Genomic DNA, 13,721 nt, shown 5'->3' on the forward strand with positions numbered 1-13,721 from the left:
CATACTAAACACTACACTGAAACCCCAACTTGAAACAAGAAATAACAACAAAATAATAATAACAACGACGACGAAGTCAGCTTGCCATTAAGGAAGCCGACACAAAGCATCCGATCACCCAGCTGTCTGAGTAGGCTGGGGCCACCAGTTAAACATCTTAGCCACCAGCAGCCACTCCTCTGGGGAACCGGCCAGAAGTGACTGCTGCACCCTATTAGCTGCTGGAGCGAAGGGAAGAAGTAAGTGGTTTCTCTGGAGAAAACACAGCACAGGCTACAGCAACTCTGCTGGTCAGGAGGCGGTGGGGGGTGTTGTCATTTCCTGTCACAGCCCCTCTGAGGCTGGGGTCGGGGAGGCTGGCCCTGCTGCGTTCTCAGGCCGAGGCTGCACCAATCACATTCCCAGGGGTCCTGACCACAAAAGGTCCACCAAGGCGGACCCCACTCCATGCAGCCAACCCGGGGGCAGCAGAGAAGAATCCAGTGACCAGACAGAGCAGGGAGAGGCGTGTGCACCTCAGGGCCACGATGGCCAAGACCCAGCCGGGAGGCCGGCCGAGGCCCCAGGCCCCAGGGACTGCGCCAGTCCTCTATGCTATCTCAGCTCTGTGAGCGCTACTGAAGACACCCCAGCAAAACGTTTTCAGCACAGAGCAACACGCTGATCAGTGGCTTTGGGGATGACTGTAACACGGGTAAGTTACAAGAAAAAATGGCACAACCCGCCCTGTGAAATCTGAGCGGAGCAAACAGGCTGTGAAGGCGTTGGCAGAACGCAGACGAGGCTGCGAAGGTCCAGCGGCAGCCACGCCCCCCTCACCGTGCGACCAGCGGAGGCAGAGTCCTGGATGCACTCACTGGGAGGAGGGTGTCATGGGGACCAGGCTCCCAGACAGATGGGCAGTGGGGAGGGCTCCAGCCTCTAGAAAGGCAGATTCCCTCCAGGCCGCCCATCTTCCTCGGCACAGAAGGCCAGTGAAGGGGGTGGTTTGTGACCTGCAAGTTGCAGCAGGTCTGGGCCCGGTTTTGGGGAACACCTGAGGGTCCAGCATCTGCAGAGCTGAAGAGAGGAGGAGGGAGAGGCCGCGGGCTGTCATGGAGATGACCCCAGCACTAAGAGGAGGGAACACGTGGTGCCATACACGTCCGACTCCGCTGCGCCTGAGACTGAGAAACACAGCTGCTGCCTCCTCCTCCGCCCCCATGGCTGGCTGTGGCTCCACTTCTCCCCACGCTCTGCTGGGAAGAGCCACCCCAGACTGCCCAGGAGGCCTCCCTGAGTCCAGCCCCGCCCCATCCAAAGTCCAGGGGAACCAAAGGAGAAGACGGGTGCAGCCCCCACCTGATGGTCAGAGGCAAGTACACAGATGGCACAGAATCAAAACCTGTCTGGCCACGGAATGTGCCCTTCTCTGTCACAGACTCTCCAAATTCCAGGACTTGCTGCTGAGGCTTTTAAGCGCATCCCACAGCCTCTGACCAACCATGAGCAGAGCTGGCCAACTGAAAGGGCACGTGGACCACAGGAGGATGGTGGTGAAGAGCAGACGCCGACCACAAGCCCCGCATCCACCCGTGCCTGAGGTCTGCAGGGTCCGCAGCGGCTTGCCGGGCCCCATGGGAAGCCCCGCAGGAAACGGGCAGAGTAGGAGGTGGCATCAAGGTGGAGAACAGGGGCAGGTGAGGTTGGGGGGGGCAGGTGAGGTTGGGGGGGCAGGTGAGGTTGGGGGGGCAGGTGAGGTTGGGGGGAACAGGTGAGGTTGGGGGGGGCAGGTGAGGTTGGGGGGGCAGGTGAGGTTGCAGGGGCAGGTGAGGTTGGGGGGGCAGGTGAGGTTGGGAGGGCAGGTGAGGTTGGGAGGGCAGGTGAGGTTGGGAGGGCAGCAGATTCAACCCATGAGGCTCCACAGGGACTCTGAGCACCCATGACACCCACAGAGCCCCCAGTAGCATCGACTGCATGGGCCTTTCCCCTCAGACGAACAGAGCTGCAGCCCTGGGAACCACCTGCCCAAAGACCAGGCATGAACCCAGAACACATTCCCACATCTGCCCAAAGACCAGGCATGAACCCAGAACACATTCCCACATCTGCCCAAAGACCAGGCATGAACCCAGAACACATTCTCACACGTGCCCAAAGACCAGGCATGAACCCAGAACACATTCCCACGTCTGCCCAAAGACCAGGCATGAACCCAGAACACATTCCCACGTCTGCCCAAAGACCAGGCATGAACCCAGAACACATTCCCACATCTGCCCAAAGACCAGGCATGAACCCAGAACACATTCCCACGTCTGTCCAAAGACCAGGCATGAACCCAGAACACATTCCCACGTCTGCCCAAAGACCAGGCATGAACCCGGAACACATTCCCACGTCTGCCCAAAGACCAGGCATGAACCCGGAACACATTCCCACGTCTGTCCAAAGACCAGGCATGAACCCGGAACACATTCCCACGTCTGCCCAAAGACCAGGCATGAACCCGGAACACATTCCCACGTCTGCCCAAAGACCAGGCATGAACCCGGAACACATTCCCACGTCTGCCCAAAGACCAGGCATGAACCCAGAACACATTCCCACACCTGCCCAAAGACCAGGCATGAACCCAGAACACATTCCCACACCTGCCTGTGGAGCTCCACAAAGAGCTCAACGTCCCCACCCTCAGGAGTCTATATTCTCACCCTGGGAGACTGATGATAAACAATTAACAGATGGAAACACAGAGAAAATTAGCAACACTGTAGACTCAAGGAAAACCATATCAATAATGACGCTAACATTCCAATTAAAGAGCAGATATTTTCAGACTGTATTTTTAAAAGCAAGACACCACTATATATTTGTAAAAGATGTACTTCCTATTTAAAGACACAGGTTAAAAAGGAAAAGGGTGGAAAATGATACATCATGAAAACACTGATCATACAGTTAGGTGACTACATCAAAGCACATTTCAAACAAGGGATATTTGACCAATGTGCAGAGGAACATTTCCTAAAAGGTTTAATCATCAGAAAGATACCAACCCTAAATGTGAATGCACCCAACAACAACCCAAAATATGTGGAGCAAAAATAGACAAAATGAAAGGAAGGAACAGACTAACCAACAGACATAGCGATAGATTGCATCATTCCCCTCTATTATAGACAAGGAACAAAACGCAAAACACTAATGTGAGGAATAAAAGGGCGGAATCACTACAGACATTAAAAGGAAAATATTGGCCAGTCGCGGTGGCTCACGCGTGTAAGCCCAGCACTTTGGGAGGCCGAGGCGGGCAGATCATGAGGTCAGGAGATGGAGATGACCATCCTGGCTAACACAGTGAAATCCCATCTCTACTAAAAAAGCACAAAAAATCAGCCAGGCTTGGTGGCGGGCGCCTGTCATCCCAGCTACTCGGGAGGCTGAGGCAGGAGAATGGCGTGAACCCGGGAAGTGGAGCTCGCAGTGAGCCGAGACTGAGCCACTGCACTCCAGCCTGGGTGACGGAGCGAGACTCTGTCTCAAAAAAAAAAAAAGGAAAATAATACAACTTCATGCAACAAACTCAACAGCTTAGATGAAATGGACAAAACTCATTCCTTGAAAGACACAAATTATCAAAACTAACACAAAAGAGATGGAAGATCTGAATAATCCTTTATCTCCTAAAGAAATTGAGCTCATTATTAAAATCTTCACACAAAGAAAACTCCAGGGTCAAACAGCACCACTGGTGAATGTTAGAAAACATTTAATGGAAAAACACCACCAACCTTACACAAACTTTTCCAGAAAATTGAGAAGAGAACACCGCTCAACTCATTTTGTGAGGCCAGCACATGCCTGATGTCAAAACCAGACAAGGACACTGCAGGAAAGAAAACACAGGCCAATATCCCTAATGAACACAGATGTAAAAATTATTAATGAAATATTGGAAAACTGAATTCAGGAACACATAAAAACAAATCTAGAAATGAAAGGTTGGTATAATATTCAAAAGTCAATGTAACTTATTACACAAACAAAATAAAGGAGGAAAAATCATCACGTCCACAAATACAGAAGAAAAAGCATTTGACAAAATTCAACAACTGTTAATAATTAAAAATATAAAAAACTCAGCAAACTAAGAGGAGAAGGAGATTTCCTCTACCTGATAAAAAGCACACATGACAAGGCTCAGCCAACATTACAGTAAATAATAAAATGTTGACTGCTTCCCCCTAAGACCAGAAAACAGCAAGGATGTCTGCTCTCACTTCTACTCATTGTGCTGGAGATCCCAGAGAGTGCAATGAGGCAGAAAGTTTTAAAAGAAAGCAGCGAAATTGTCTTTATTCGCAAATGATTTGAGAAACCCTCAAGAATCTAAAAATATGATAATGGAAGTTCTGAGTGAGTTTAAGCAAGGCTGGAGAATACAAAGACAATATAAGCAATAGATTTCATTTTTTAAAAAACATAAAATATGTGGGGATAAATTTAACAAAATATCTGCAACATTTGCACACTGAAAGCTAGGAAACGGTGCTGAGAAAAATTAAAGACGACCAAAATAAAATGTCCCAACTGCCACAGATTCATAGATTTAAAAAATCAATTTTTGGCCAGGCACGGTGGCTCACACCTGTAATCCCAGCACTTTGGGAGGCCAAGGGAGGCGGATCACTAGGTCAGGAGTTCAAGACCAGCCTGGCCAACATGGTGAAACCCCGTCTCTACTAAAAATACAAAAATTAGCTGAGCGTGGTGGTGTGAGTCTGTAATCCCACCTACTTGGGAGGCTGAGGCAAGAGAATCACTTGAACCCGGGAGTGGAGGCTACAGTGAGCCGAGATCGTGCCACTGTACTCTCCAGCCTGGGCGACAGAGCGAGACTCAGTCAAAACAGGCTAGAGTGCAGTGGCGTGATCTCGGCTCACTGCAACCTCCACCTCCCGGGTTCAAGTGATTCTTCTGCCTCAGCCTCCCAAGTAGCTGGGATGACAGACGTGCACCACCATGTCCGGCTAATTTTTGTGATTTTTAGTAGAGACGGGGTTTCACCATGTTGGCCAGGCTGGTCTCAAACTCCTGACCTCAGGTGATCCACCTGCCTCAGCCTCCCAAAGTACTGGGATTACAGGCATGAGCCACTGCGCCTGGCCAAAAATCCTCAATTTTTAAGAGATCCATTCTCCCTGAATTGATCTATAGTTTCAGTGCAATCCCAATGAGTCTCTCCTCCAGAAGAGTACAAATAATACTAATGAGTAGCAGAAATTTACAAGCTGGGATAAAAGAGCAAATAATCTGAGTAGCCAAAATAATTTTGAGAAAGAACAAAACTGGGGTTTTGCTTCCAAGACTTATAAAGCTACAGTAATAAATAGTGTTGAACTGGGGTAAAGACGGCCATACAGGTCAACAGAAAAGAATAATGTTCAGGAATAAACCCACAATTATAAGCTCTTCCCCCAGCCCAAAAAAAAAGGTGTCAAGGTAATACAATGAGGAAAGGGTAGTCATTTCAGCAAATAGTGCTGGACCATAAAAACATCCAGATTATAAAAAGGAGAAGAGTGAGGGAGGGAAGAAGAGGGGAAAAAAATCCTCAACCCTCACCGCATGTGAAACACAAAAATTAACAGCTATAAAACTTCTAGAAGAAAACACAGGAAAAAATCCTTGTGATCAAGCGCTGGTCGAAGATTTCTTAGAAAGAACACAAAAAGAACAAACCATAAAGGAAGAAATTGATGATATACTGAACTTCATCAACATTTAAAACTTCTTTCTCCAAAACCACCATTAAGAACTAAAGAGGAATGAGACAAAGATGCAGAATTGGCTCCTGTGAGCCAGTGTAGCCAACTCCAGCCCAGAGCTGGACTTCCTGTAAAGGGTCAAGGGCGAGCTTTCTGAGGTGACAGACATATTCTACATCTTTATTGCAGTAGTGGTTAGGTGACTGTATGCCTTTGTCAAAACTCATTAAATCTCAACCTTAAAATGTGTGAATTTTATGTAAATTAGACTTCAATAAAACTGATATTAAAAATTAAACATATTCCTATGCACCAGCAATAAAAATTTTTAAATACAACTAAAATAATGCCAGTTACAGTAGCATAAAACAAAAATTACTTGGGGATAAATTTAACAGATGTACAAGACTTGTATACTGAAAATGGCAACCCATGCTGAGAGAAATTAAAGAAGACCTCAATAAATGGAGAGATGTACCATGTTCATGGATTGAAAAACTAATTATTATTAAGATGTCCAGCCTCCCTAAAACTGAGTTATATTTCTAACACAGTCTGAATCAACATCTTGGCAGGCTTCTGTACATATAAATTGACAAGTTTATATTCAAAATTCATATGGAAATACAGAGGATCCACAATTGCTGAAACAATTTTGGGAAATGAACTAAGTTGGTGGACATAAAAATCTCATTTAAAGATTTACTATAAAGCTACAATAATCAAGACAGTGTGTTACTGGCAACAAGAAAGATAAAAAAAAATAGACCCAAACATACTGGTTTTTGACAAAAGCACGAAGGTAATCCAATGGGGAAAGCTAAGTCTCTTCAATGAATGATGCTGGAGTAAATGGATATCCACATGGAAAAATGAACCTCTACCCCCATTTCACACTGTGCACAAAAATTAATTTTAAATGTATCTTAGACCTAAACTTGACTTTAGGATAGACAACGATTTCTTAGAGGAGACACAGACTACTCATCAAAAGAGACCGCTGAGAAAATGAATGGTTGAGCCATAAACTGGAAGAAAACACAGTGCATCTGTCCACCAAAGGACTTGAATACAGAATCGTTAAACTCCTACAACTTAATAAAACACACACATAAATGGGCTAAAGAATTGCACAGACACTTCACAAAGTAAGCCACACAAATGACTGTCTCAGTCAGTTCAGGCTACTATAACAGATTGCCATAGACCTGATTCCTCAAACAACAGAGATTTATTTCTTACAGCTGTAAAGGCTGGGAAGTGTAAGATCAAAGCACCGGAAGACTCAGTGTCTGGTGAGGGCCCACTTCTCGGCTCCTAAACAGCTGTCTTCTCTCCATGTTCTCACAGGGTAGAAAGGTGGTGACAGAGCCCTCTGGGGTCCCTTGTTATAAAGGCATTAATCCCCTTCAAAAGGGTTCCACCCTTATCACCTAAGTACCTCCCAAAGGCCCTAGGTCCTAATACTGTCACTCTGGAGGGTGGATCTCAACATATGTATGTGGGTGGGGACACAAACATTCGGTCCACTCCAATGTTCAATAAGCACATGAAAGAGTCGTGAATATCATCAGTCATCAGGAAAATGCAAATGTTCCTAATATCAAAACTTATCACATCACGTTTGGAAATGCCCATTATTTGCCAACCTCAGATGCATAATTTTCTTGAAAACCGTATGGTCATCCAACAGCAATCCGATTTGGCCACACCTGCCAAAGAGATTCTGCTGTGTCTCCAAGATACCAGCCGGCCACCCTATGGCCAGCAGATGCCTCCACCATAGACCCCAAGAAGAACCCCGGGACCCAGCCAGAAAGGAGAGCAGGGCTGGGCCATGCCTCCCCGCTGGACACCGCAGTACACTCCCTAAGGGAGACACAGCTTTGTGCAACACTCATGGTCAAAACGCCCAACCTCCATGTGCCCAGCTCCCTTCCACATTGACTCATTCACTTTCTCTTTCTACCCAGTTAAGTTAAATCTAAGCATTTATTGAGCACTTACATGTGCAAGACCATATGGAGTCCAGAGCGAACATAACCCGGCCCCTGCCCACATGGCTTTCTCAGCAACAGACAGAAACGTGTTCTTGCAGCAGGTAGCACCTAGAGAGGATGCGATTACTGTGCACATGTGTGTATGCATGCACGCTCATAGGAGAGTGACATCTCCAAACTCAAAGCCAGATCCTCTTGGCCAGATCATCTGACTGTTCTGACGTTTATGAGGATGGATTCCAAGAGACCCCTAAGAAGCTAAGGTCCCCAGGACTACCCAGGAAGATGCCAAGACCAAGCCAGTGTCCAGCATGCTGTGTCCTGAGGCATCCCCCTGACCACAGCCCTGGGGCGCTGGACATTGCTGCCCTGAGGGCCCAAGGCTCTACTGCTGTTCACAGGGCCACCACATCCAGGGCCATCATACCCAAGGCCACCACATCCAGGGCCATCATGCCCAGGGCTACCATGCTCGAGGGCACCCAACCAGGGCCACCACACCCAGACCCACCAAGCCCAGGGCCACCATGTCCAGGGATACCCATCCAGACCCACCACACCCAGGGCCACATCCAGGGCAACCCAAGGGAAACACGGCAGGAGAGGCACAGCCAGTCTTCCACCGGCTTCCGCTGCCTTGGCTCTCCCCTGCCTCCCTTCCGGCTCTCTCCTGCATTCGATAACAGCCCTCATGGCTGTGGGACCTCACTGTTTGTATGTTGAAAACACAAAATCAACACAGCCACTGCACATAGAAGAGAAGAAACCACCGGAGGGCAAATGTAATTAATGGAAATTTTCTGAACCTTCCAATTAGCTCGGCGGTGGCTGAGCTGGCTTGCGCTCTCTGGAGCATTGCCGTTTCTTAATTAAAGGAATGTGAGTTCATTTTGGCACAGGTTTCCTGCGATCCACTGCACTGGGCCCCTGGACAGGCCACACAGGTCCACAGGAAGGACAGGCTCCACTGGCTGTGGGTGACCCTGTCCCCTTGGATGTTCTCGATCTGAGATGTATGTCATCCTTGTGAGGATGAGGCTCTGCTTTCTGAGGACCCAGGAGCCCTGTGGACACCTCCTCGTGGCCTTGGAAGAAAGAAGTCCATGGTCAAGCTGTGCCAAAGAAAGCCTAGAGGCACGGTCACCTGCAGAGCCCAGGCCACCTAGTGGGAAGAAGGGCTGTGCCCACGAGATGCCAGCCCGCCCAATGGAGTTGGGCCTGGAGCCTTCCAGAGTGCCCCTCTGCAAGTCTGAGTTTAGAATCACACCAGGTACCATCCTTCACGCATCCAGACTCCTGTATGAACGCTGAGGCTGAGCTATGCCAGGCTTCAAGCAGAGCCATGGGGCTCATGAAACAGGCCTCGAGAGAGAACCTTCAGGTCCCAGAGACCCCATCCCCCCCACCCTAGCTCTGACCTGCCTGCCGTCCTGCACTGAAGACCCTCAGGCTGCAGAGCTGAAGGACACAGACCACATGGCCTCCATGTCCACCTGTGTGCACAAGATGGCCATTCCTAACCTCCTGCCCTGGCAAGCCTGATGCTGACAGCGAGAGGTGGTGTGTCTCCCCTCTCAGACACCAGTGGGGAGCGGGGAAGAAGAGCATTGCAGTGAGGTCCACATACGGCCCAGCCTTCACTTCCCACCGTTGCACTGACCTCTCTAGACCTGGAGGCTTCCCCTGCAGGGGCCCAAGGCTCCTACAGGGACTGAGCACCTCCCAGGACTGGCCTCAGACCCCAGTCAGCACTGGGCCTCAACACTTCAGCTACTCTCTAAAGTCAAGAAGAGCAAGGACATTGGAGGCAGACTGCCACCCTGGACATCCAGTGCCAACATAAGCACCTCCACGAGGAGTAGACAGCCAGTGCAGCACACTCTGAGCCCAGGAGCCCAAGCCCAGCCCTCACAAGCACCCCCAGGACCATGCGTCAGCCAGACAGGGTCCCCTCACTGCCACCAAGGGCCTGGGTATCGGCCTCGGCCTCTCCATCCGGGCACTCAATGCTCACACACTCACCACATGCATATTGATACCCACACTCTCTCACCCAGTCACACACTCATCCACACTCAGTCTGACGGATTCATCCACACACTCATACACACGTAAACAATTCATGCATGCACACACATTCACACATGCTCAGGCACACATAAACACATGCATACATGCACACGCATGCACACACTCACATGCTCATGCACACACATTCATATATTCATGCTTGCACACATGCTTCCATATTCATGCACTCCCATGCTTGTGCTCATACCCATACAGGCTAATCCACAGATTCCCGGTGCCAGCCCAGGTGCTCTGAGGGGCACCCAACGCAAGACCCCCACCCAAAGCAGGCCCTGGAATTATCGAAAAAAAGACACCAGACCCTGGGAAGCCACTCTCAGAGGCCTGGCTGACACCATCCCCTGGAGCTCTTCTATAAGAAAGGTGTGAGGGAGGGCATCAGATTGCCAACCTCTCACCCTCTGGAGATGGCACCCAAGCCCCGCGACGACCCGCTGCCGGTCCCTCCCTGGTCCCTCCCCCCTCCCTTCCCCATGCAGACGTCCTCCTCCTGACTCGGTGGGTGCTCACCTGCTCCAGTGCTGCAAGTCACTCAGGACACAAGACTGAGCCAAGGAGATGAAACCTGCCCCACGCAACGTGCAGGGCAAGAGGCTGACCCAGAGGTGAGCAGCGAACGGCAAACATCAGCAAGCGGGGAGCACGGCACGTGCGGGGCGGTCAGTGCAGCGCGTGCATGCGTGCGGGGAGGGCAGCGCTGGGGAAGAGCCAAGAGAGGCCTGGGGCCAGGGGGCTGGGGCAGGACTTAGAGTGGGCCTGGCTGAGAGGAGGATGGAGTGGCCATCGCTACTCTCACGGTCCCTCCACCCAGGCCTGGCGCCTGGCGGGCTCCCCTCCTGGCTCTGAGATGGCCCAGGGCCAAGCGACTGTCCTGGCCAGCAAGCTGTGAGCCACTCTCAGGCCAGGGAAGGCAATTCTTCGCCAGCAAAAGACATCTCAGAACACTCCTTCTCCCACTCCAGCCCCTGGTGGCTGCACCTTCACACAGGCCAGTGTGACAGTGAGCCAAGCCCTCCCTTGGACTCATGGGGACACAGGGCAGGCGGCAGAATGAAGGCCCTGTCATCCTTAGCCACTGGCTTGGGGTGGGCGTTACTGCAGAGCGTCTGCCACCCAGACTGGGCCAGGGGAGCAAGGCAGCCGGCCAGGCACACGGAGGGTGCCGTGGGCAGAGCTCTTTTAAGAAGCAGCAGTCAGGCCGGCTACAGCAGAGGGAACGCAGGGCAGGCAGGGCCAGAGTGGGGGTGGGGAGATCACACAGCCAGGCACGTGGTGAGCCTCGGCCTGAAGAACAGAGCCAGGAGCCCAGCAGGTGGGAGGTCCAGCAGACTGGGCCACACCAGCCACTGCCTGGGGAATGGGGGTGGGGACAGCCCCGAGGAAGCCCTACCAGAGCTGGGGCAGAGCCTGCTCCGGGGACGCAGAAGGAGCCAGGGCACAGGGGGCCCTTCAGAGGGTAGAGCCAAGAGAACACCTGACGGTCACAGGCACGAGGGAAGGGGCCCCCGAGGGAGCTCAGAGGTGGGCACAGGCAGGGGCCTTCAGGCGGGGCCAGCATGGGGGCATCAGGACTCGCATTTGAACCTGCGGAACTGAGACACTCGAGTGGCAATGTCGAGTCGGAGGGTGGACGGAAAAGCCTGGAATGTGGGAAACAGGTCCCAGCTGGAGACAGGAATTGGGAGTCGCTGCCATATAGGTGGTATTTGAACCATGAGATCACCAGCGTGTGGGTGGAGCGGGAGGTGAAAGAGCCCCAGCACGGCAGAGTCAGAGTCAGAGACGAGGAGGATCCGCCAAGGAGGCCATGGAGCAGGCACGGGGAAGGGGGTTGGGGATCAGGAGTGTCAGACCCTGCCATAGGTCGAGGCCAAGGAAGGCTGGGAACAGAGCACAGCCACAGGGAGGGGCCCGCCCCAAGGCATCTTTGGGGCAGGTGGGGCAGATTCCAGCTCCAGCGGGTTTTGGGAGAACTGGAGGGGAGGCCTGCAGACGGCAGGGAGTGAGTGAGTTTGAGTTTTGCTGAAAATGGAGGGCTGAGAAATAGGGCTGTGGGCTGACACTTTCGTAGCACAGGAAATAAAGCATGTTGCTTATTCACTCAACAGCCACACACCAAACGCCATCTGATGCCTGGCGCCCTTCTCCACTCTCGGGACACGAACATGCATGGCTCACTCTTAGCCCCTCGGGAGCTCCAGCTAGTTGTGTACACAGCTATCAGCCATTGACCTCGCACCATCTACAGCCAACAGCTCAGCCTCTGATCCAGGCATGGGTCAGTGCACCAGCCCCCGACCCAGGGCCAGCACCATGGACAGCTCTTCCCCCCAGAGCCCCGGGTTCTGTATTCCAGAGCCCTGCAGTGACTTCCGTCCCCTTCCCCGGAAGTCCTGACCACGGAGACAGGCCACAGGTCCTGCAGCTGCCACGTGTGGTGGCTTTGTTTCATCGTGATCTGTCCTGCCTGTGTATGACACGGGTAAATCATGTGTGGTCCACAAGGGAACACTGAGGCCCGGCCAGCAGAGCCAGGACAGCTCCAGATGTCAGCGGCCTCTGCCCCTCTCGGTGTGGACTGTGCCACTTCAGTAAACCCAGAGAAACAGCCTCCAAAGGAGGCCTGTCAATTCACACGCCCACCGGCAGTGCACAGAGCAGGTGCACGGAAAACACGTTAAGCTGAGCAAACAAAGTGACAGGAAAAGCTAAGAGTCTTAAGCCGGCAGTGACACCATGGGCTTCGTACTTTAAAAAGATCACTGTCCCCCCAGAGCAAGGAGCACAATGGGACCCAGAGCTCAGTGTCTAACACCATCCTCCTAACAAAGAAACCAGGGCTCCTTGGAGAAATGGCCAGTTCTAGGGCTGGGTAAGGAAACACACGGGGTGAGCCTGCAGCATCGTGCAGTGCCCGAATGTGAGAAAGTGATCAGAAACTCACAAGAGCAACAACGAAAGCACCGAAGAAGGGGTGTTGAAGGAGCCAGGGCAAAGGACAGCTCCCAGTGGCCAGACTGGGACGGGGTGACCAAGAAATTAAAGCAGTGACGAATTACAACCAGCGTGTAAAATCAGCACCCATGAGTCTACAGTGATATCAATGACGGGGTAACAGAATTAACGCAAGGAAGAGACAAATCTACACAGAAGAATTCCAGGCCGGGCGCAGTGGCTCACGCTTGTAATCCCAGCACTTCGGGGGGCCGAGGAGGGCGGATCACGAGGTCAGGAGTTTGAGACCAGCATGGCCGACATGGCGAAACTCTGTCTCGACTAAAAATACAAAAATTAGTTGGGTGTGGTGGCGCACGCCTGTAATCCCAGCTACTCGGGAGGCTGAGGAAAAAGAATCGCTTGAACCCAGAGGCGGAGGCTGCAGTGAGCCGAGGTTGTGCCACTGCACTCCAGCCCGGGCGACGGAGCAAGATTCCATCTTAAAAAAAAAAAGAATTCTGAATGACGTATATAGATAAGCCCCCTTGATGAGGGGACCATAACTACCCCCACACCCGGTGTGGGCTGCATATGGTGCCATCCTGCCAGGGAGGACAGTGTGGAAAAGGGGGAAAGGGGACGTCATGGTGGAGACACCTCACCAGTGACAGGGCCAGCATCGGCAGGAAGGTGTGTGGACAGCGTGTAATCTCGTATGACATCATGAGAATGGCATTTACCTCCGTGGTCTTCCTCCCAAAGGCCCATAATCCTGAGAGAAACATCAAATGAATCCCAGTTAAAGGACATTTTACAACACAGCTGACCAGTGTCCAAACTGTCAAGGTCATAAAAAGCAAGTTTGAGAAACGGTCACAGCACGGAGTAGACTAAGGCGCCAGGAGACTCATGTAACACGGGATCTTGGGACAGATAAGTGACA

The 13,721-nt window shown here is 51.7% G+C and overlaps 1 protein-coding gene across 10 annotated transcripts in view, besides 1 other annotated feature; it reads right to left on the minus strand.

The window, feature by feature from the left end:
* STK32C (serine/threonine kinase 32C) overlaps positions 1 to 13,721 on the minus strand; it is a 124,754-nt gene that overhangs the window by 75,121 nt on the left and 35,912 nt on the right. The gene's annotated exons all lie outside the window — the stretch shown is intronic.
* Positions 640 to 1,239: an enhancer, noted in NCBI's record as "H3K4me1 hESC enhancer chr10:134096746-134097345 (GRCh37/hg19 assembly coordinates)". NCBI's record gives its function as "activates a minimal SCP1, AML or CMV promoter by ChIP-STARR-seq in naive H9 embryonic stem cells {active_cell/tissue: H9 hESC(naive)}" and the evidence as "EXISTENCE:reporter gene assay evidence [ECO:0000049][PMID:30033119]".

Source organism: Homo sapiens, chromosome 10 (genome assembly GCF_000001405.40).
Source record: "Homo sapiens chromosome 10, GRCh38.p14 Primary Assembly".
NCBI classification, from domain to species: domain Eukaryota; kingdom Metazoa; phylum Chordata; class Mammalia; order Primates; family Hominidae; genus Homo; species Homo sapiens.